Raw genomic sequence first — 22,846 nt, 5'->3', positions numbered from 1 at the left:
TGTTTCCTCCTCTCTGGCTTCCTCTCTGCTCTCTTGCTCAGTGTATTCAAAACAGGTTTTGCCTTTTTTGTCCTGAAAAGGCCATGAGGTAGGAAGAGACTGCAAAGTCTTGTCATAGGATAGGCCCCTGACCAGTGCCCTCCAGAGCAGAGTAACACTGCCACCCACTCTGGGGCTGCTCACCTCATTTTTTGAAAGGCCACCAAGACATCCTGAGCTGATGCTGCTTCTAGGTGTCTGAAATGGACCCATCAGTTCTCCTTTGCTTTTGCTCACCACCGTTACTGTGAATGTCAACCCTCGTTCCAAGGACTGCTCCCATTAACCATCCAGTACAGCCTGCCACCGCCCTCTCCCTTTGGAAGGTCTTTCACTGAACTCAAGCTCTGCAAATTCCTGTTTTTTCCACTTTATGGTTAAGTAAACTGAGCATCAGACAGCTTAAATAGAGTGTCGCAGGCCACAAGTTAGCAAGTAGGGGCAAAGATCTTCATGAATTAATGATTAAGAACTGATATGTAATTCTTATTGAACATTTATAGATAAAACAAATGACTAGTTAGCTATGCCTTAATTCAGCTGCTATCACCATGATTCCAGAAACTGGAACATCTCCCCCGGTCAGCCATGTGGCCGGCTGCTTCCAGCCAGAGGGTGGGGCTTCTCAGTAGCTCCAGCCCCCCACGATGGACCCTCACAGGGATCTAGCCAGCCCCAGCTGATGTGCCTATCGTCAGCTCAGCTCTGCACAAGAGCTGGTGTCTTTGTCCATGAGAGGGCTGGGATGCCCACTGCTCCGTTTCACCCTCCCCATGGGTCCTGATAACTAGGCGTTATCTGGTCCATCTCTTTGTGCTTTTCCTTCTTCTCTCCACAGGATGACGCTGCAGGACTTTAAAACACATTTCGTGCTCCTGGTTATCTGTAAACTGACCCCAGGCCTGTTGAGCCAGGAGGCGGCCCAGAAGTGGACGTACACCATGCGGGAGGGGAGATGGGAGAAGCGGAGCACAGCTGGTGGCCAGAGGCAGTTGCTGCAGGGTGAGCATGTGCACAGGAGCAGGGCTCTCAGGGTGAGGTTGTGGGCGGGGGTGTCAGAATGACTGCACAGGGGGTTGCAGCACGAATTCTGCATTGGCTGAGTGGGGAGGAGGCTCTGCTTGCCTCACTGTGTGTTGGGGCCCTGGGCTATAACCACAGGGAAGATGGGGTACCTTTGGACCCAATGTGCACCAAGGCAGAGTCCTCTCAGTCAAGCTGCCAGCCTGTGGGGCTGCATCTTCCCAGAGGGTTGCCCTGTCGCAGTCAGCACCGGGGGTCACAGGCACACAGGCATGATAAAAGCAGGGGCAAGGGAGAATCTTTTTTAGTTTTAGGACAAGACCACTGAAAACACTGAAGTAACCACCCCCTAACTAGGCAGGATTGAAATAGAAATTGTATCTGGTCTTTCTCACCTGGAGCCTGGGAGAAACACAAACCCAGGGCTTCCCAGGATCACTAGATACGGGAGACAAACCTGTCTGGACTCCCAAGATGGGACAGGTTTGGTGACCCTGTCCCTTCCTCCACTGTGGAGATAGTGAGCCATCCCTTTTGAAGGCAAGGCCTGTGGGGTGTGACCTCAGCAGGCCAGGATGGCCTTAGCTCTGGAGTCCCCCTTTTGACACAGTATTTCCCCCATAGTCTGAAGCTGACCTTAAGGTAAGGTTTTGCGTCTATTAAAATGCAAAGGCCCCTAGGATCATGGTCACCTCCCCAGGGAGTTAATACAATTGCTTACTCAGGTAGCACATGCTTGTGGGGTATAACACCTGGGCCAGGCACTGAGCAAGACAAAGGCTACAGTGGTGGGAACAACTCCAGTCAGTGTGTCTGGAGAAGACCTCCAGGTGGAAGAGCAAGGTGGGAGGGCGTAAATCCAAGGTTGAAGGGACCCCGACTCTGTCCCAGTGGGCCTCAGGGTGTCAATCCTGGCAGAGGCGTCCTCAGACTGTTCACCTCTTAGTGGTTCGGCAAGCAGGATGCATGGGGATCCGGGGCCCATTCTCACCTTGCTGTGTTCTGCTCCAGACACATTTTGGAAGAACCCGCAGTTCCTGCTGTCTGTCTGGAGGCCCGAGGAGGGCAGGAGATCCCTGAGGCCCTGCAGCGTGCTGGTGTCCCTGCTCCAGAAGCCCAGGCACAGGTGCCGCAAGCGGAAGCCTCTCCTCGCCATTGGCTTCTACCTGTATAGGGTAGGTGGACCTCTGAACCACAGGGGCATGGGACCAAGCGTGGGGGTCACCAACAGTTACCATGTCTTCCTGTTTCCTGTCTTCTTCACCATCTGTCTCTGTTCACAGACCTGGGTTTTCAAATCCAGGCTCTGTCCTTTAGGAACATGTGATTTAGAACAAGTCACCTTCTTGCACTAGGCCATCAGTTTCTACAATGATATTTAGGCAAAGGGTAGAATAAAAGAGGATTATGTGGTAGTGCTTGTTATTGTGCCTGGCACATAGTATGATCAATATTGGCTTCCTTTTCCTCTCCCCAAAAGCCAAGCATTCTTTCCCTCCCTCTTTTCCAGAATTTCCAATGATAGATTAAAATGTCACTGATAGAACAGCAGGTCTTGTGGGAGGGGACACGGCTTCTGGGTAGAGCCTTGTATATCAGCTTCTATTCGGGTTTCGGTTTATGAAAGAGCCAGATTCCCTGCTTAATGAGATCTCTCTCTCCTCTTTTTTTTTTTTTTTCTGTTTTTGTTTTTGTTTTTTAGATGAACAAGGTGAGTTCTGCACTTGACCGGGTGGCCCTAGTTTGGGGTGACATCACATGTGGCCAAGCCTCCACAGGATTTAGTTAGACTGGAGCAGGCTTCTACTGCGTAAGAAGCTATGATAATGCCAGATGATGAGAATGTCTGCCCGCTGCCTGTGTGTATATGAAAGTAAAGTGCATCTGTTAATCTTTTTTATCCAAAGACCCCCAAGAGATCCTCATGCATCTATGGGAAAGTCTTAGAGCCTAGCAGAGAACCAATACATTTTAGAATTTATTAAATTCCTACACAAATACCCAGGGCTAATATTGACGGCCATCACAGCATAGGAAAGATGATAAATTACAATCATGACTGGGTTATGAAACCCAAAATAAAATAGATTTAAAACATATGGGACATCAAAGACCATGCAGCCCACCTCCCTAGGGAGAAAGGACAAAGGCTTGGGGACATGTGGCAGGAGCATGAGCAGAGGGACAAGAACACCTCCGTGCTTCAGCTGCTGTGGCCGCCAGGAGGGGTCAGGTAGGAAGGCCCAAGGAATCCCAGCTTCTGAGGGAGGCAGCTATTATTTTATTTCCCAAAGAAAACAGGAGTAAAATGCTTAATTTTCTCAGGTTGGATTGAATCAAGTAAAAGGATTATTGTAGAGAAACCATTTTACGCAGGGTCTTTGTTTGTTGTTTCTCTCACAGGAATACTGAACACTCTCAAATTTGCCTATTAATTTAAAAAGAAAAAGTTATTTATGTCATGCCTACTTCTAAATAGAATTTGGGTCAACCTACAATAAAAAACTGTAAACAGAGGAAACCTGCAAATCAGCTACAAAATTTCAAAGCCATTGAAAAATAACAAAGGGATGAGAGCTAGGTAGGCAGTTGCTTCTACCAGGAAAACTAAACCCAGGACAGCTACCGTGGCTCATTATGCAATTTAGCTCTGAGATTCCTAGTAGCCCATGGCAAAGAGGGCAATTGGATGATTCCCTAGTTCTCATTGTCTTATAAAAAAAATGCCTACCTCATCAGGATATGTATTTTATTTCCCAAACATTGAGGAATTTGCTAAATATCTGTTTATTTGGATGGGTGATGTCTTTGTTAGCAGTTGTGTATAAACTGGAGAGAGGATCCTGGTATGGGTCTCCTCTCCCTCTATAGCCCTGAGTGAGAACAAAGGGGAGAGTAAGCAAGAGAGAAAAATAGGGAGAGATGGAGAAACAAAGGAGGCAGAGAGAGAGAGAGAGAGAGAGAGAGAGAGAATATGAATCAGATAAAGCAGATACCCAAGAAATGTCGGAACCAGAGCCCTGATTTTGGTCTTCTGAGCTCTTGCCCAGTTCTCTTTGTCCTTTACAAGGGTGTTTTCCCTGAGATGATGCGGAATGTCCAGCTTATCTGTGTGTAGCTGTGTGGTGTAGGTGGGGAGGTGGTCGTGGTCCATCTGTATCTGTGTCCATAAGTCATGCCATATCACATACATGGAGGCAGCATCAGGAAGGGTAAAGAACAGGAGCATTGGAACTCAGCTGTCCTTAATTCCCATCGGGCTGGGACTGTACCCAGCTGATGACTCTGGGCAGATGACCTAACCCGTCTAAGCCTCAGAGCCCTCAGCCATAAAATGGAAGGCACAGGGACATTCCTCACATCATTTAGTGCTGGTGTTGTTTTTAAGGTAAGTCAAATCAAATGACACGTGTTTATGTAGCCCCTGATAGGTTCCAGCAAAGGTGCAGCCCTCCACACACATATTCTGGTTTTTCCTTTCCTCCCCACTTGTTTCATCCTCCACTGGGGCCTATTGGATTTGGCAGAGCAGAGGCCACCTTAGTCCTGGCTCAGAGCTTTGAGGGCCTCAGGCCTGGCCACAGCCCTGGGTCATCACCTCCCTTGCTGTTCTTCTGTCCTCTACCCACAGTACCATGATGACCAGAGGAGACTGCCCCCTGAGTTCTTCCAGAGAAACACTCCTCTGAGCCAGCCTGATAGGTTTCTCAAGGAGAAAGAAGTGAGTCAGGAGCTGTGTCTGGAACCAGGGACGTACCTCATCGTGCCCTGCATATTGGAGGCCCACCAGAAGTCAGAGTTCGTCCTCAGGGTCTTCTCCAGGAAGCACATCTTTTAGTAAGGACACAAGGTCTCTCCTAGAGGGTGGGGACCACTTGGACGAGGACAGGCAAGGAGGGCAAGGTTGGAAATGGCAGAAACCAGGATCTCTGCTGCTGAGACAAAAGGGAGATGGGGAGAGCAGGAGACCAGGTGACTTTCTGCATGGAGAACATCCCTCCCGTTCCTTCCCACCCTCCTTCCACTCACAAACTAACACCATGCTAGACATTAGAGAGAAAAAGATAAAACACACATAGCTTCTGCCCTCCTGAAGTTCAAGGTCTGGAAAGAACACAGATATATGAGCAGTTATTGATCTTCCAGTGCATCCAGTGTAAGCATTTTATATGCACAGGGTGTTACAAGAGCCTCAAGGAGGAGAATTTGAGCCAACTCCCATGGTCCTGGGGGAAGCAGGAGTGGCTTCAGGGAGGAGGTGACTATTATAAGATGCATAGGGGTTGTTCAAATGAAGGGAGGCTGTCATGAACTAGCAGGCTTCCATTCTACTACTGTATCCAGTTGAATTAATGTGCACATATCCCAACCAAACATATTATTTTGCCTATGATTGTTTTACCTGCCAGGTTTTGTGCTTTTTGTTTTGTTTTGTTTGTTTGTTTTTTATGTCTCGGCCACAGGTAGTTTGATTTGATCTCAGGCAGGCCCCACTGCCACGTCAGACCACTAAGTCTCATGCTCATCTTTTAAGACTAGTTAGATGAGGGTGCAGGGAATTACAAGCAGTGTGCTGTGCACATGGCTGGAATGTACAGTTCAAGGGGAAGCAGGAGGTGAGGTGTGAGAGCTGGGTGGGCCCTTGTGGTGCCTCAGTGAAGGAACGTGGAAGACGAGCTCCCAGGAGAAGGGGAAGATTGGCCAAAAAATTCCCAAGAGGAAACTCTGAGTTTGTTCTTGTTTGTTTGTTCTCAGTGAAATTGGCAGCAATTCTGGTGTCGTCTTCTCAAAGGTGAGTAGTCTGGTGGAATTCCATATGGCTGGGACTGCTTTCCAAGCCAGGGTGTTGGGTTTCTCCCTTCAAGTTAAGGAGTCAGGGGAGGAGATATGCGGATCCTTACAGACCCTGTTCTATGGCAAACATTACCCGTTGTATCCTAACAGTACCTGGGCTTTGCTGTTTTTGCACCAACAAAGAGTAGAGAACTACCCTTCTGATCAGGTCCTTGTCACTGAGGGTCCAGAACCCCGGCAGTATGAGCTACATCTCTACATTCTTCTGCTTCTCTTTATCTGGTGTTTCTTTTGTCCATTTCACTGTTTGTGATTTCCCCAGAGTCAGGAAAAATTGGAGAAGCAAGGGCTGTTTGTAAATGCTATGGTGTAAAATTAAAGACGATGCAAAGTCAAGCTCATGGATTTCAGAAACCTGGAAGCCATGAGACATTAGGGTGTGCACGAAAGTCCGTTTATACAGGTGAATAATTGTGTCTTTCTGTGTGTCTCTTCCTATAGGAGATAGAAGACCAAAATGAAAGGCAGGATGAATTCTTCACCAAATTCTTTGAAAAGGTTAGTTGAACAGGTGTGGTGGGGGGTGAGGAAGAGCAGGGGACGAAGTGGAGCTTCTCATTTTATAAAGTATAGGTTTGCACCTGCTTGAGGCTGCTTAGAAACTGTGATTTAAGGCTACCTATTGCCCAAACTGCCACTTTCTATTAAAGTCCTCAAGTTTTTAGACAAATGAGTGGAGCCATTGTCTAGAAGGCTCCTGTAAAATGATTCTCTGTTCTTGGACGCTCATTGATTAGTTGTAGGGAAAGCAACTTTAATCTTTCATCCCTGAGAAAATGGGATATAGCAGAGTAGAATGTCAGAGTTGGGAGTGGGACAGGGGGTGGGGGGTGCAGAGCATGACAATGACAAGCTCTGGGGGCCTTGGGGAGGGTCATTGGAGGGGAGCGCAGGGAGAAGGGGCCCATGAGTGGTCACCTGGAGAGAAGGTGGGACTGATAAGAAGGGGGAGGGCCTGGGACACACGCTTGGTTTCTGTGGCTTCTTCCTTTGGGCTGACCCAGATGTGAGTCTGGCAAGGGCTAATGGTGTGAGTGCGGGGCTCTGGAGGCCATGCTCTCCTAACCTGCAAGACACTTAGGAACAGGGCGAGAAACATACTGGAAATCTGGGGTCTGATATTTGAGCAATGTCACTAAAACAGAGAATATGAGCCCCCTATGTTAGTGACACTCCTGATTTAAAGTCACAATTTACCTGCCTTGCCCATCTGGAATTTTGTTTAATGTAGCTGGAGAGGATAAATCAGAATCTTATATGTATTGTTTGTTAAAGTTTTCCTCCATACCTGTGGTTTCCAAACATTTGATGCTGCAATCCTTTTATCAAATGAAGTCTCATAGAGAATCCCAATCTATATAAAACAACTAAAAATTGCATGTTATGAATATGCCTCAGTTTTAAAAATTCAGATGTTTGATACTTATATTTCACTGATATATTTTAAAATCAAATGTTCATATAAAGAGTTTCTTTTAATAAACTCTAAGATTAAAATCTGGAGTTTTGACTGATGACATTTTATTGAGAATGAAATTCAAACCAAATTGTTGGCTAAACTTCAGCAGCACCTGGATAGCACCTTCGAGAATCACTGTTCTTGAAAGTCATGCCCTGCCAGGGTTCTCTGGGGTTGGCACCCAGTTAAAAAGCATTGTGAAGTTCTTAGGAAATCCCAGTTTAATTTCATGGCCAGTCATATGACCCCTCTGCCATCTAATGAGCCTTCAGTAACAGTTATTTTTTCTTGCCAATCTGCTTTCTATTTAGCATCCAGAGATTAATGCAGTTCAACTTCAGAACCTCCTGAACCAGATGACCTGGTCAAGTAAGTGTTTTAGAGCCATTCTGTAGGACTCAGAGGGGATGCAACTTTTCTAAACTCTGGCTTTGTTTCTCTTTCCCTTGGTGGGATGTGTGAATTACTGAGCACTGGTCTCAACTCTGGCTATATTTTACACAAGGTGGATTATGTGATCTGAAAAAGCAGTAGGGAAATTTATACAACTTTGAAAATCGTTATTATTATTTTGCTTACTTTGGGTATAGACATACATGGCAGTGAAAATGAAGATTCCTGCCATTTTGCTAGTCAGAAAGGAATAACTGAGTACCTCTTTCTTGGCATATCAATTCCATGTGGAAGAACTGCACCCATTTCCTCAACCTGGGATATGAATATTAAGTATTAACTAGCCTACCCAGGGAACTGTCTGATGAACTCATGTTAAATTGATCAAGCAACAAAACTCTGGAAGGAGAGAGCACACCACCTAGAAGAATTGCAAATGAGTAGCGTGAGGCTTTCATATGAAGCCTGGGGTAAATTATTAGAAAGGCTTAAAGTCCATATAAAATATTTTATACATATATTTGGAGTGAGAAGAACACAGAAGAAATAGGCTGATTTCTTCAGGGAGACGAATGAACTTCAAAGTAAAAAAAGTAAAACAACCAGAGTATTTGCTGCCAAAGTTAGATGATTGCTTCTTCTTTCTATGAAGCCAAGATTTATAATCCAGACAAATTACAGTCCAGGCTATTGTGTGATTCAGGGTTTGAAAGAATTTGCAAAAGGCTTCTCAAAGCCAAATTCAGTTATCAGTAAAACAGCCAGAAGGGAAGACTCTAGGAATTGTAGAACGTAAGACTCCCCTTCCCGGCTGAAAAAGAATTCTAGGCTAATTCTAGGGAAATTACCTAGAAGCAATGGCTCATGCACATTTAAAAGTTTTTAAAGGTCTTGATTGCATATATACAAAATGGTTTTCCAAAGCATTTATGAACAAATTGCTTTCATTTAGTCCTATGAGAGGGTTCTAGATGGATAAATCAGAGAAATACTGTAGATTTTGGCAAAATGTTTGGTGAGTCTCCCATGATAAATGATAAAATGTGGGTTGGAAAATAATAATAGAAGATGTATTTACAACAAATCTTATCACCATTCCCAAGAGTTATACAAATATAAAACTAGAGGGATAATTCTATCCAGTTACAGGCAAGAGTCTATATGCTTAGATGTTTAGATGAGAGTTCTTAGATTCTGTCTGCCCTTGGTCCTGTTCATTTCCCCAATTTTTATTAATGTCTTGGAAGAAGACATGGAATATAGGCTTATTGGAGCTGCAGATGGCACAAAGCTGGGAGAAATCATTAATATAATAGATAGCAGAATTGAAATTCAGAATGTTTTCAACAAGCTGTGCCCAAACCAAAAAGATGAAATGTAGTCAGGAAGATAATAAACCACTGCCATTTTGATATAGACCATTTTAAGATGGTAGCACAAGTTCTTAACAGAAGAGACTTCATTTTTGTGGCAGTTTATGTGAAAGATATTTGGTTAATTTAGTTGACCTCTAGCTAACATGAACTAATTGTTTCAAGTTGCTGCTAAATAAGCTCGTACAAATTCAGGCTGCATTTAATGGGAGCATTTAGATGTGTGCTTTTAAAATTGTGTTCCAGGAAATGCTAGAAACCAAGAGGTTTAGTAAGTGTTCCATGAAATAAAAGGGGTTAGCTTCTGTGGTTGATTGTACTTGGGTCTTTAGTACCTCACATATGGTAAAGTGCATGGCAAATGAAGAAAAGCATCAATAGACGCAAAGTATCCCACATTTCTTTGACCACAAAACTCCTCTTTCTCTGCAGAAAATCTCCTTTGAGACATAATTTGGGAAATGTTGACTGAAAACTGGAAATGATAGGTCTACTGTATTCTGTTCAATCAAATTGCATCTGGAGGACTGTGTTCAAATCTTGGCACCATATTTCAAAGAGATACTGGCAAAATGTAGGGCTCAGAAAAGGGTGTTGAGGGTTTAGAAACCATCGCATGTGAGGAGTAGTTTGAGAAATATTCAGATGTTTAGAAGGGAAAGCAAAAGTCAAAGAAGAGACAAATACCGTTTTATGCTTTTCTGGAGGTGAAACTAGGACCGTGAGCCACTATTATAGGAGGTTCCTTTGGACTTAATGAAAGAAGTTTCTCCTGACTGAAGTTCTTCACCCATGTGAAAAAGTGAGCACCTGTAACTGACAAAGCATCCATCAAGAAACCTGAGGAGGGCCGGGCGCGGTGGCTCACTCCTGTAATCCCAGCACTTTGGGAGGCCCAGATGGGTGGATTACTTGAGGTCAGGAGTTTGAGACCAGCCTGGCCAACATGGTGAAACCCTGTCTCTACCAAAAATATGAAAAATTAGCCAGATGTGGTGGCGCGCTCCTGTAATCCCAGCTACTCAGGAGGCTGAGGCAGGAGAATTGCTTGAACCTGGGAGGTGGAGGTTGCAGTGAGCCAAGATTGTGCCACTCCAGTCTGGGTGATAGAATGAGACTCCATCTCTAAAGAAAAAAAGAAAGAAAGTGAAAGAAAAGAAAGAAAGAGAGAGAGAGGGAGGGAGGGAGGGAAGAAGGAGAGAGGGAGGGAGAGAGGGAGGGAAGAAGGAAGGAAGGAAAGGAGGGAAGAAGGGAAGAAGGAAAGAAAGAAAGAAAGGACTAGTTTACAGTCCCACCAACAGTGTAAAAATGTTCCTATTTCTCCACATCCTCTCCAGCACCTGTTGTTTCCTGACTTTTTAATGATTGCCATTCTAACTGGTGTGAGATCATATCTCATTGTGGTTTTGATTTACATTTCTCTGATGGCCAGTGATGGTGAGCATTTTTTCATGTGTTTTTTGGCTGCATAAATGTCTTCTTTTGAGAAGTGTCTGTTCATGTCCTTTGCCCACTTTTTGATGGGGTTGTTTGTTTTTTTCTTGTAAATTTGTGTGAGTTCATTGTAGATTCTGGATATTAGCCCTTTGTCAGATGAGTAGGTTGCGAAAATTTTCTCCCATTTTGTAGGTTGCCTGTTCACTCTGATGGCAGTTTCTTTTGCTGTGCAGAAGCTCTTTAGTTTAATTAGATCCCATTTTTCAATTTTGGCTTTTGTTGCCATTGCTTTTGGTGTTTTAGTCATGAAGTCCTTGCCCATGCCTATGTCCTGAATGGTATTGCCTAGGTTTTCTTCTAGGGTTTTTATGGTTTTAGGTCTAACATGTAAGTCTTTAATCCATCTTGAATTAATTTTTGTATAAGGTGTAAGGAAGGGATCCAGTTTCAGCTTTCTACATATGGCTAGCCAGTTTTCCCAGCACCATTTATTAAATAGGAAATCCTTTCCCCATTGTTTGTTTTTGTCAGGTTTGTCAAAGATCAGATAGTTATAGACAAGCGGCGTTATTTCTGAGGGCTCTGTTCTGTTCCATTGATCTATATCTCTGTTTTGGTTCCAGTACCATGCTGTTTTGGTTACTGTAGCCTTGTAGTATAGTTTGAAGTCAGGTAGTGTGATGCCTCCAGCTTTGTTCTTTTGGCTTAGGATTGACTTGGCGATGCGGGCTCTTTTTTGGTTCCATGTGAACTTTAAAGTAGTTTTTTCCAATTCTGTGAAGAAAGTCATTGGTAGCTTGATGGGGATGGCATTGAATCTATAAATTGCCTTAGGCAGTATGGCCATTTTCACGATATTGATTCTTCCAACCCATGAGCATGGAATGTTCTTCCATTTGTTTGTGTCCTCTTTTATTTCATTGAGCAGTGGTTTGTAGTTCTCCTTGAAGAGGTCCTTCACGTCCCTTGTAAGTTGGATTCCTAGGTATTTTATTCTCTTTGAAGCAATTGTGAATGGGAGTTCACTCATGATTTGGCTCTCTGTTTGTCTGTTATTGGTGTATAAGAATGCTTGTGATTTTTGTACATTGATTTTGTATGCTGAGACTTTGCTGAAGTTGCTTATCAGCTTAAGGAGATTTTGGGCTGAGAGAATGGGGTTTTCTAGATATACAATCATGTCATCTGCAAACAGGGACAATTTGACTTCCTCTCTTCCCAATTGAATACCCTTTATTTCCTTCTCCTGCCTGATTGCCCTGGCCAGAACTTCCAACACTATGTTGAATAGGAGTGGTGAGAGAGGGCATCCCTGTCTTGTGCCAGTTTTCAAAGGGAATGCTTCCAGTTTTTGCCCATTCAGTATGATATTGGCTGTGGGTTTGTCATAGATAGCTCTTATTATTTTGAGATACGTCCCATCAATACCTAATTTATTGAGAGTTTTTAGCATGAAAGGTTGTTGAATTTTGTCAAAGGCCAATGTGGAAGTCAGTGTGGCGAATCCTCGGGGATCTAGAACTAGAAATACCATTTGACCCAGCCATCCCATTACTGGCTATATACCCAAAGGACTATAAATCATGCTGCTATAAAGACACATGCACATGTATGTTTATTGCGGCACTATTCACAATAGCAAAGACTTAGAACCAACCCAAATGTCCAACAATGATAGACTGGATTAAGAAAATGTGGCACATATACACCATGGAATACTATGCAGCCATAAAAAAGGATGAGTTCATGTCCTTTGTAGGGACATGGATGAAATTGGAAATCATCATTCTCAGTAAACTATCGCAAGGACAAAAAACCAAACACCACATGTTCTCACTCATAGGTGGGAATTGAACAACGAGAACACATGGACACAGGAAGGGGAACATCACACTCTGGGGACTGTTGTGGGGTGGGGGGAGGGGGGAGGGATAGCATTAGGAGATATGCCTAATGCTAAATGACGAGTTAATGGGTGCAGCACACCAGCATGGCACATGTATACATACGTAACTAACCTGCACATTGTGCACATGTACCCTAAAACTTAAGGTATAATAATAAAATAAAAAAATAAAAAAAAGAAAGAAAGAAAGGAAAGAGAGAGAGAGAGAAAGAAAAGAAAGAAAAAGAGAAAAAAAGAAAGAAAAAGAAAGAAAGAAAGAAAGAAAGAAAGAAAGAAAGAAAGAAAGAAAAAAAGAAAGAAAAAAAGAAAAGAGAAAGAAACCTGAGGAAAGAATCCCCCAGTTTGGTTGGGAGCTTGAACAAGTTGACCTCTTGGATCTCTTTGAGATTTGGGAGTTTGACTCTATGATCCTGGCCCTCCCTAGGTACAAAGGGCATGTTCATTTGGCCCTCTGTGTAAGCAAACCCAAGCCGTACCAGGCATCCCCTATAGCATTTGACTTTCTCCATGGGTAGGAACGACCGTCACCCCCCCGTCTCTCTACTGTCTTCCATTCTCACTCTTCCCAGCCCACGTACATACATGGTGGTCATCAGCTGGCCCATGCAGCACTGCCTCTTCCTGCTCAGAAAAGGGGTGTGCAGACCTGGGGCCAGCCCCCATGTGGACTCTTTCGCTCCTTCACAGGTCTGGGGAGCAGACAGCCCTTCTTTAGCCTGGAAGCCTGCCAGGGGATCCTGGCCTTACTGGACGTATCCTTTCAGGTTTGTGGGTGGATGCTTGCTGTTGGTTGAGAGCTTCACTCTGGAGCTAGGCAGAGTATATTTGAATCCCAACCCCAATCCTTGCTAATTGTGGGATCCTGGACAAGCCACTGAGCCTCATTATGTATCCAGATGCTCATCTGAAGCATGGAGAGAGTGTTGAAACTTACTTGGTAGGATTAACGTGGGAATGCAAATGAGATAATACAGGTAAAATGCTGGGGTCAGAGCTATCATCTAATAGGTGACCAATATTAGCCATCCATCACAATAATCTCATTTCCTGGGAATGAGGATGAGGCAGCTAGAAGGTGGTGGTTAGTAACAGCTCTCCAGGTTTACAAGAGCCTTTACAAAAGCCTTGGGGCCCTATGTTTTCCATTTAATAACTGGGCGGTGGCTGCCCCCATGCACAGATCAGGAAACCAGTGCTCAGGGAAGTTAAACAACATGCCACAAACTCAGCTGTCCTTTCTCAGCCCTGCAATTTTTCTAACAAACACACTGCCTTTCTAAGTGGATAATTGTAATCAATGTTTGATCATCCATACTATTGAGAGGCATATTGAATAGATAGCCTAAGGGGGGTTGTAAAGACAAAAACAGTCTGCAGAAACTCAGAGACAGTGCAGGATTAGGTGCACGGGCATGGAGCAGGTCCCAGCTCTGTCACCAGCTGTATGAACTTGAACAAGATCAGACCCTCTCCAAGCGCTCATTTCATCACCTGGAACATGGGGAGTTAATGCCGACCTCACCTGCTACAGGTGAAGTGTGTAACTCAGTGATGGATTCATGGTGAGGGCTCAAATAGAGATGGGGTGTGGTGGTACTTTGACCCAATGTCTCTGATGGTAGGGGTATCTGGGCATGGTCTACAAAGCCAACCATTAAACTTAAAAAAATGTAAAAGGCATCATTAGCCACTGTGTGCCTGACTCCTTCCATAAGCTGGTTTTTAAAATAATAATGAAAAAAGGTTACTATTTTTTAAATTTAAATCACATCAAATTGGCCATGTCAAAATATCCTGCCTTGATATGAACAGACACTTCTCAAAAGAAGACATTTATGCAGCCAACAGTCACATGAAAAAATGCTCATCATCACTGGTCATCAGAGAAATGCTAATCAAAACCACAATGAGATACCATCTCACACCAGTTAGAATGGCGATCATTAAAAAGTAAGGAAACAATAGATGCTGGAGAGGATGTGGATAAATAGGAACAATTTTACACTGTTGGTGGGACTGTAAACTAGTTCAACCATTGTGGAAGACAGTGTGGTGGTTCCTCAAGAACTAGAAATAGCATTTGACTCAGTCATCCCATTACTGGGTATATACCCAAAGGATTATAAATCATGCTTCTGTAAAGACACATGCACATGTATGTTTACTGCGGCACTATTCACAATAGCAAAGGCTTGGAACCAATCCAAATGTCCCTCAATGATAGACTGGATTCAGAAAATGTGGCATATATACACCGTGGAATACTATGCAGCCATATAAAAAGATGAGTTCATGTCCTTTATAGGGACATGGATGCAGCTTGAAACCATTATTCTGAGCAAACTATCGCAAGGAGAGAAAACCAAACACTGCATGTTCTCACTTATAGGTGGGAACTGAACAATGAGAACACCTGGACAAGTGTGGGGAACATCACACCCTGGGACCTGTCAGGGGGTGGGGGGCAGGGGGAAAGATAACATTAGGAGAAATACCTAATGTAAATGACGAGTTAATGGGTGCAGCAAACCAACATGGCATGTATACCTATGTAACAAACCTGCACATTGTGCACATGTACCCTAGAACTTAAAGTATATATATATATATATATATATATATATATAGAACTCAATAAAGGATGTTAAGAAGAAAAAAAAGTAGGCGTGAAAGGAAGAGGCAATGGGATATGTCATATTTAATTTGTTTATGTTTAGGTGTAAAAGACTTCAAGTATATTAAAATTATATCACCATCTGTTAATACTACTGGTACTCCACTAACAATAATCAAAGATAACATTTCATAGCATTAAAAAAATTCTGCCTCCCTTAATGCTAGCTGTGGTCATCACCATCATCACCTCCATCATCATCGCTTCTCCCAGTGCTGCTGTGCTCTGGGCTCATTCTGTTTTTTCCTAGCAAGAGTGAGGGAGCCCTGGGCTGGACTGGCCAGTGAGGTGAGGCGAACTAGCGAAATCAGACATGATCAGACATTGAATGAGGCCATCCACAAATTGCACATCACTTTGTGGAGGGCTGATCACTGCCTCCAAAGCATGGATAGAACTCTCCCTGGAAGCTTTTACCTTAACCTATTAATCAGCTTAATGCATCAGGTACTATGAGCATCCAGGAATTCAGGGACCTGTGGAAGCAGCTGAAGCTCTCTCAGGTAAGAACAAGTCTTAACCACACCTCTTTGGAAGATGGTGTAGGAATGGCAGTTCTGCAAAGCTGTAGAAGATACTTCTGTCCCCTTCAGCCCTTTATATCCACCTCACCAAACCTTCTCTATTCTCCCTTCGGTGAGCATTTCCTCTATTGGTCTCTTCCAAACTCAGAGAGCTGGTTGCAGTAGTCTCCTGAAGTTCCAAAACACATATCTGATCATGCTGTTTCCTCACAAAAAGCTTTTTAAGACTCCCCATGGGCTTCAGAGAAAGTCCAAACTCCTTGGCACACTTGGCATTTAAAGTCTTTCATAAATTTGCTCCTTCTTGCTCTTCCAATCATTGCTCACAACTCACAACTCTCCCACTTGTCTCCTGAGTCAGAAAGCTGGAATCACTTTAAAGTGTGGATAATGTGCTTGCACTAAGCACATTTACCCACACCAAGACTGTCTATACCCCATGAGAAAAAGACTTTTTTGTTTCTCAGAAGCCTTGTTCTGTAGGAAACATGAGGCGGTAGGATCCCAGCATGGACTCTGCCATATTCTTATCCTGGCAACAGGCCCTGCATGTGGAGCCTCAGATATCTTCAACAGCCCCTCTGCGGTGCTGACAAGGGGCACACAGGGCTCTCAGATGGTGCTTGGAAATGCCTGGCTTCCTGAACCTCTTATTTGGTTCTTTGCAGAAGGTTTTCCACAAGCAAGACCGTGGGTCAGGATACCTGAACTGGGAGCAGCTGCACGCTGCCATGAGGGAGGCAGGTAGGCACAGGAAGAGCTGGAGCTGTGGGCACACACGGGCAGGGTGCACACTCATCAGGCAGAGGAGAGGGGATGTGTGGCATGCTGAAGTAACTCTAATACGCAGTGTTACTCTCAAAGACGTAGATCTGCAGTCAACTCCAACATTTTTTATGATTGTCCCTGTGATCCTAGCCAACATTGATGGAGGGGTGGCACATTCAACTTCTTATTTAATCTTCAACACCACCTTGTTATAATCCTCACTTCACAGAGGAAGAAATTGAAGCTCAATTGCCTGGGGTTTAAATTCAGGACTGCCGGGCTCCCAAGCAGGTACTTTTGAGCACTTAGCAGACTGCCTCCTTCATTGAAGGCTGGTAACATACTTGATGAAAACAGCCTCATGCTGGTTGCCTTAACAGACAGGGGTGAAGAGTAGGGATTAAATAAAATAAATTGGTTAAACAATTAAACCATTCAAAATGAACCCTATAAAAGAAGATTTCCATGCTATCAGGATTCAGGTCCCTAAACTGGAGGGACATTTGAAGGGGCCTTGAGCAGGAGGGGAGCTGGGTGCAAGCCCCCAATACCCACAGCAGGAGCTTGTGCTCAATGCAGGAATCATGCTCAGTGATGACGTCTGTCAGCTGATGCTCATCCGCTACGGCGGCCCCCGCCTCCAGATGGACTTTGTCAGTTTCATCCACTTGATGCTGCGTGTAGAGAACATGGAGGGTAAGCTGGCGGGAAGCTGGGGAGGGCCAGGTCTTCCTCTGCTGCCCCATGACTTCCCACCTGTCCCTAGTTTAAGCACAAGGGAGGACAGCCGCCATCCCAGAAACAGCAGACCAGGGAAGCTGTGGGGACCTCCAGCCAAGTGCCTGTGAACCCTGGCTGCAGATATCCAAACTCATCTTTTCCTGACTTGTTCCAGAGACAAAGGCTTGAAGTGGCTCACTTATCATAGATGTGGCTGCGTGTGGTCACATGTAGGCTGACACTGGGTTCCCTCACGTTTTCAGAATGGATGTGGTTAAGGTGAGACATATGGGAGGAACTAATTCATAATGTTTCCAATAGACACATTAGCTGTATTCCTTTCTGCTGCATTTTCACAGATGTCTTCCAAAACTTAACCCAAGATGGCAAAGGGATATACCTCCAGAAGCCAGAGGTAAGACTTGCCCCAAGGAGGTGGCTCATGTCATCTTACGTAGAGGTGGCCCTTGCGGGACCATGCTCTTGTGAAGGAGAAGGGCTCTGGGGACACTTTATTCTGCTGAATTGGAAATTGAGCACTACATTCATTGCACTCATTCATTCATTCATTCATTCACCCATCAAATATTTTCTGAGCACCCACTTTGTGCCAGGCACATATGAAAGGTGTATCCAATAACTCTGATTGCAATAATGCCATGTGACAAATTTACAAAACTTCAGCAGCATATGTATGACAAGCACTTATTTAGCTTCCGAGTCACATGGCTGGGAGTCAGTGGATCTCAGCTGGCTTGCTCATGTATCTGTGGGTTGGCTGAGGGTTTTGCTGGGTACCTGAACTGAGGAAACTCTGCCTAGGTTTGTTCTTCCCAGGGAAATGGGAGAAACACAAGCAAGCAAGCTTAAACACAGTAGGCCTCTGAAACCAAGGCTCCAATCTGGCACGCCTGCAAGTCATTCTGTTGTCCAAAGCAAGTCAAATGGCCAAGCCCATTTCCTCCTCTTTAATATCACTTTGCAGACACAGCAGGATGTGTTGAATGAATGAAGTGATATGCCTAGGAGAATACAAATTTATGTATGAAACTGATTATCTTCCCTGATCCTTCAAAATGCACTGATTTATTGAGCAGCTGCTTAGGTGCCAGGTGTAGCGCTAGGTAATGTTCATTGCAAGGACATTGGACTCTGGAGTTCAATCCTCTGCTCTTTTATTCTGCAACCCTTCCTCTGCTATGGCCACTTAGAAATGATTCAGTCAAAGCTGGAATGTTTTTCTTGATCTCAAATGTCCATTTTATGGAATTGCTTTCCAAGCTGTAGGGACCTGCAGCCTGTGTCACCCCTCAATCCCTCCAAGATTTGATGTGAAGTGGGATTCTACTGGAGGGCCAATGGCCAGAATTTTCAGGGCCTATCCCTGGACTGCTTAGCCCCACACTTGAGTACTGGGGCATCGCTCCTGATCCCAGGCAATCCTTCCACAGTGGCTGGCTCAGGTCTAGGAGAATAGGACAACACAAATGTGGCACCTGAAATAGGACAGCCCAAAACTGAGCAGGGTCCAGTGGGCAAAGAGCTATCACAGGAAGAGAACTGCACTGGGGTCTGAGAACTGGGTTGAAGCCACAACACTTCTTGTAATTAGCTGTGGGGCCTTAGGCAAATTACATTAAATCTCTGGGCCTCAGCTGCCCCACAGGTGAAATGAGTGGAACTAGATGGTCTCTGAGATTGCCTCCAGCTCTGACCATCTGTGGCTCAGTGAGGATCAGGACCACCCAAGGTCTGCAGGGAATGGCAGCCACCTTGTTGGATTTCACGCTGAGGCTTTCTCTGACACCATTGGTAACTTCACTATTCTCAGCTTTATCATTCTGAGGGATTGGCCTGGGGAGTGGTTTCCCCAGAGGTCCCCTCTATATGAGTTAGAGGGGTTGTTCATCAAACCCACATAAAGCTGTCAGACCAAGGGCCCCATAAATGTAAACGTGTAGAATATGCTTTAATGGATTTCTGCTACCCTGCCAGTTTGCACACCTGCACAGAGCTGGCACAAGCATGCCAAATTGAATTCATGGGAAAAAAATTCATTGAGAACTGAATACAGAATCAGCCTGTATTTGACTGTCATCATTCATAGGCACCGTGAGAAGTCAAGGTTGATTATATTTCAAGTTGATTTATACTTCCTAATGGATGATATGCTCCCTCTGGCTAAACCATCCATTAATGTTCTGTCTCCATGGCTCCCCAGGAGTGTGGGATGGGGAGGCCCAGATGAGACGTGGGTCTGAACTGACCATCATTTGCTTTCCCAACATGTCCAGTGGATGATGATGGCACTGTACTCCTGAGAAGGCTGAGTCTCACCTGCCCTCACTGAAGACTCTGCATGTGGCCCAAGAGCAGCCTTTGGCTGAGACCAACCCATGCCCACCCTACTTACTGATCTTCAGGACAGCCTCACTAGCCGTCACCTTCTCAGCTGGGAAGGTTTCTCTTCTGCAGCCCTCCCCGTGCATGGCCAGCATGCAGAAAGGGAAGGGAGGAAGTAAAGATTACATCAGATTTGTAAAAGCTAGCCATCCTTCCCTGAGGCCACAACCTTGTCACAAGCGGAGATGTTACCTGACATGGCCTAAGCATTCTGACTCCAGAGCTGGTGTGGTTAGCCTCCATACAACACTGCCTCTGTGGCTGCAAACTCAAGTGACTTTAGACATGCCACATGTTCTCACATGGTGGGGTAATCATCTAGGTTTTAAGGTCTGAAATGGGAATGATATATCCTTAGACATTTAGTCCCAGCATCTGCAAATTGATAGAGACATAGGCTAAGTTTCAGCTGTTTGGGGATGGGGTCAGGGATATAGTGGGCTTTCAGAAACACAGACAGTAAGAGAATTGGCAGAGTCCAGGTGGGGTGGGCTGGCTCTGGCATCTGAGGTCATGGGGTAGTCTTCTTCTGACAATATCTCCGTATGATTGGATCTGGGGCAACCTAGTAGATTTAAAACACCTGAGTTCTCAAAGGGCTTCCTGCTTGTGACAGGTGTGTCTATTTGCTTGATATATAGACTATCAGATCCATTTCAAATCTGTCCAGAAATTCTCTGTCTATCTACTTCAAAGGACAAAAACAAACCCATGCTAAATTATAGAGTCAATCAGTGGGTGGTTGGTATATCTGATTTTTTGAACTACCATGAAACACCTTGTTTATGTCATCCCTCTCAACCAAGAATACAGGTGCAAAACCAGAACAATGGCCTTTTTCCAAAGTCTATGCAATTTATTCATAAGTTAGCACCTCAGAGCCATTTATTACTACAGGTTGAGCATCCCAAATCTGAAAACCCCAAATCTGAAATACTCCAAAATCTAAAATTTCTGAGAGTAGACATGAAACTCAAAGGAAATAGGGGCATTTTGGATTTTGAATTTTTGGGTTTGAGGTGTTCAACTGACAAGTCTATAATGCAGATATCCTGAAATCTGAAACACTTCTGGTCCCAAGCATTTTAGTTAAGAGATAGTCAACCTGTATTCTATTTAATCTTAATTTACAAACAATTCTAACAAACATGGCTGTTTGATTTCCAACTCCATAGCAGACTCAGGAAGGAAGCTGAATGAAGAGATAAAAGTGTGTCCATTGGCAGAGGACTAAAGGAGATTTGAGCACCTGTCAGATGGGTACTGTACCAGAAGAAAGGAGCACTTTGAAAGCGTAGCTTATGGGGTAGGAAAGTATTTTATTTAGGAAAAAAAACCCTTCATTTATTCCAAATGATAAAATGTAAAATGGGTTTCCATAAAGTGCCAGATACATGAGATGTTGTTGATTTTATAAATGATGATCATGTATTTACAGCCTTTTACAGTTTTTTATATCCATTGACTTATTTGTGTCTTTGTCTTTAAAATCTGCCATTGCAAATAGCTGTTTTAATAAACCAATTTTGCCTTGGCCCCTGAAGGCAGTTTTGGAGATATTTTTGGGTGATGGGAGGGTGACACCATGATCCTACTCATGACATTTAGACTATAGTGTGCTGGCTGTGTTGGTGCAGATAGATCTATCTCCACATTGATTAAGCCTGAGAGCCCCTCTGGTGACTTCTCAGTGGGTGGTTTGAGTGGTCCTACATCACTCAGGTGCTAGCCTCACTCTCCTGAGTCTAGGTATCTGCACTGTGGCAACTCAAAGATGACCTGTCTTTGCTGACACCCTTCCTCCAGATTCTCTCCTATACCCCCAAAGCTGAGTACTGAAGACCAGGGGGCAGAGCAATCTCCCCACTCCCACCACGCTTCCCCATCTTCTGTCACTCCAGGGGAAGCAGGGGCGGGAAAATAGAGATCTGGGGCAGGAGAAACTGGGCAAGCACCAGGGTGAAGTCAGCTGAAGGGCTGAGAGTTGACCATCAGCAGTTCTGGAATATCGAAAGCAGAAAGTCTGCCATGAATAAGAAAAAGTGGAAAGTGCAGCCAAGGAGGAGTGAGAAATCACCTGCCAGTGCCAAGGAGGGTGAGGTCAAGGAATCCAGAGGTTGGGTTGTCAAGTCCAGCCCACGCAGGGAAAGCATATCAAAGTGAGGCCTGTTCCAGGCTGTCACAATCTCAGGAAAACAGGACTCTACCTGAACAAGAGGAGATGAAAATACCTACCATTTATTTATCCCTGGTCTTGTTTCTTCTTTCATGTTTTGTATAAAACTTCAGTTATCCAAAGAGAACCTTCTAGATTGCAGATGTGGCCTGGAGCAAGGCACTTCCTGGCTGACTGTAAATAGCACTGTTTTCCTGCCATTGCTGTATTGAGTTAGAGAAATGATTTTGGCTTCCAGGATTTTGAACCTGATGTTTCCCCAATGAAGTATATGTATTTAGATTTATAATGAAGGAAAGGAGGAAATGAGTGTTGTGGGTGATGAGTAGGTAAAAGCGGGCATCATGGAGAAGCAGGCTGTGTATCAAGCTCTCAGGATCTCTGCAAAGATGGTCCTTTGGGGTCACTGGTCTCAGGTCCTGGGTTACCATCTTTTCTCCAGTGTCCTGAGGACAGAGAGGCTACCAAATCCAACAGAAATGAAAGAGAAGAGAGGTGAGAAGATGCACTCTAGCTGTGTGACATTGGACCTCAGTTTATTCATTTGTAAAATGGAGCCCAAATGCCTCCATTCCTGGGTCATTGTGAAGATTAGATAATGCCAGCAGGCTGTAGGCACCCAATGAATGAAGCTCCAATTTTTCCCCTGAGGTAGAACAAGTAATTTCTACAGCTACTATTACTTATTTTTATTTTGGTTTTTAGAGGACATAGTGAAACACCCATGGTTTTATGCTCTATTTCTCTTTTCCTCATCTTCTTCCACATCCTCTTTCTGAATGTATCAAACTACTTCCTTGAAGTGGGGCACCAGGAGGGCCACTCCAGTCTCCAATGCAGGGACTCAGGGGCAGGGATCTCTGAGAAAGTGGCCATCTCGTTATTAAAGCTCTGTCCTCTGCTTCCCTCTCACCTCAGAAGCAGCCCGTTTATTCAACAGAGCTCCAGGTTGCCAGCTAGGGGTTTTCGGGACCATAGACCAAGCAACCCCGAGAGACTGAGTACTGACCTGCAGTTGTTCCAGAAACTCTGCTGGGAATTAGGTTGTGACCTAGAAGTGAACTGACACTAACAGTGAGAAGGCAGGGTAAGAATGC

The 22,846-nt window shown here is 44.5% G+C and overlaps 1 protein-coding gene across 5 annotated transcripts in view; it reads left to right on the top strand.

The window, feature by feature from the left end:
• The window catches only part of CAPN14 (calpain 14), a 60,902-nt gene extending 39,786 nt beyond the window's left edge, over positions 1–21,116 (top strand). For all 5 annotated transcript variants that reach the window (XM_011532864.4, NM_001321270.2, XM_011532865.2 and 2 more), the window contains 13 exons: positions 878–1,041; positions 2,074–2,237; positions 2,765–2,773; positions 4,694–4,899; positions 5,818–5,854; positions 6,358–6,414; positions 7,687–7,744; positions 13,172–13,236; positions 15,593–15,661; positions 16,351–16,426; positions 17,030–17,146; positions 17,530–17,585; positions 19,465–21,116. In XM_011532864.4, coding sequence (XP_011531166.1) covers positions 878–1,041; positions 2,074–2,237; positions 2,765–2,773; positions 4,694–4,899; positions 5,818–5,854; positions 6,358–6,414; positions 7,687–7,744; positions 13,172–13,236; positions 15,593–15,661; positions 16,351–16,426; positions 17,030–17,146; positions 17,530–17,585; positions 19,465–19,491 — 1,105 coding nt within the window. In that variant the 3' untranslated portion in view covers positions 19,492–21,116. The remainder of the gene's footprint in view (positions 1–877; positions 1,042–2,073; positions 2,238–2,764; positions 2,774–4,693; positions 4,900–5,817; positions 5,855–6,357; positions 6,415–7,686; positions 7,745–13,171; positions 13,237–15,592; positions 15,662–16,350; positions 16,427–17,029; positions 17,147–17,529; positions 17,586–19,464) is intronic.
• Positions 21,117–22,846: the final 1,730 nt, after the last annotated feature.

The sequence above is a fragment of the Homo sapiens genome, chromosome 2, assembly GCF_000001405.40.
Source record: "Homo sapiens chromosome 2, GRCh38.p14 Primary Assembly".
Taxonomy (NCBI): Eukaryota; Metazoa; Chordata; class Mammalia; order Primates; family Hominidae; genus Homo; species Homo sapiens.
The sequence above is the reverse complement of the archived record's forward strand: the minus strand, read 5'-3'. Positions and strand labels throughout refer to the sequence as shown.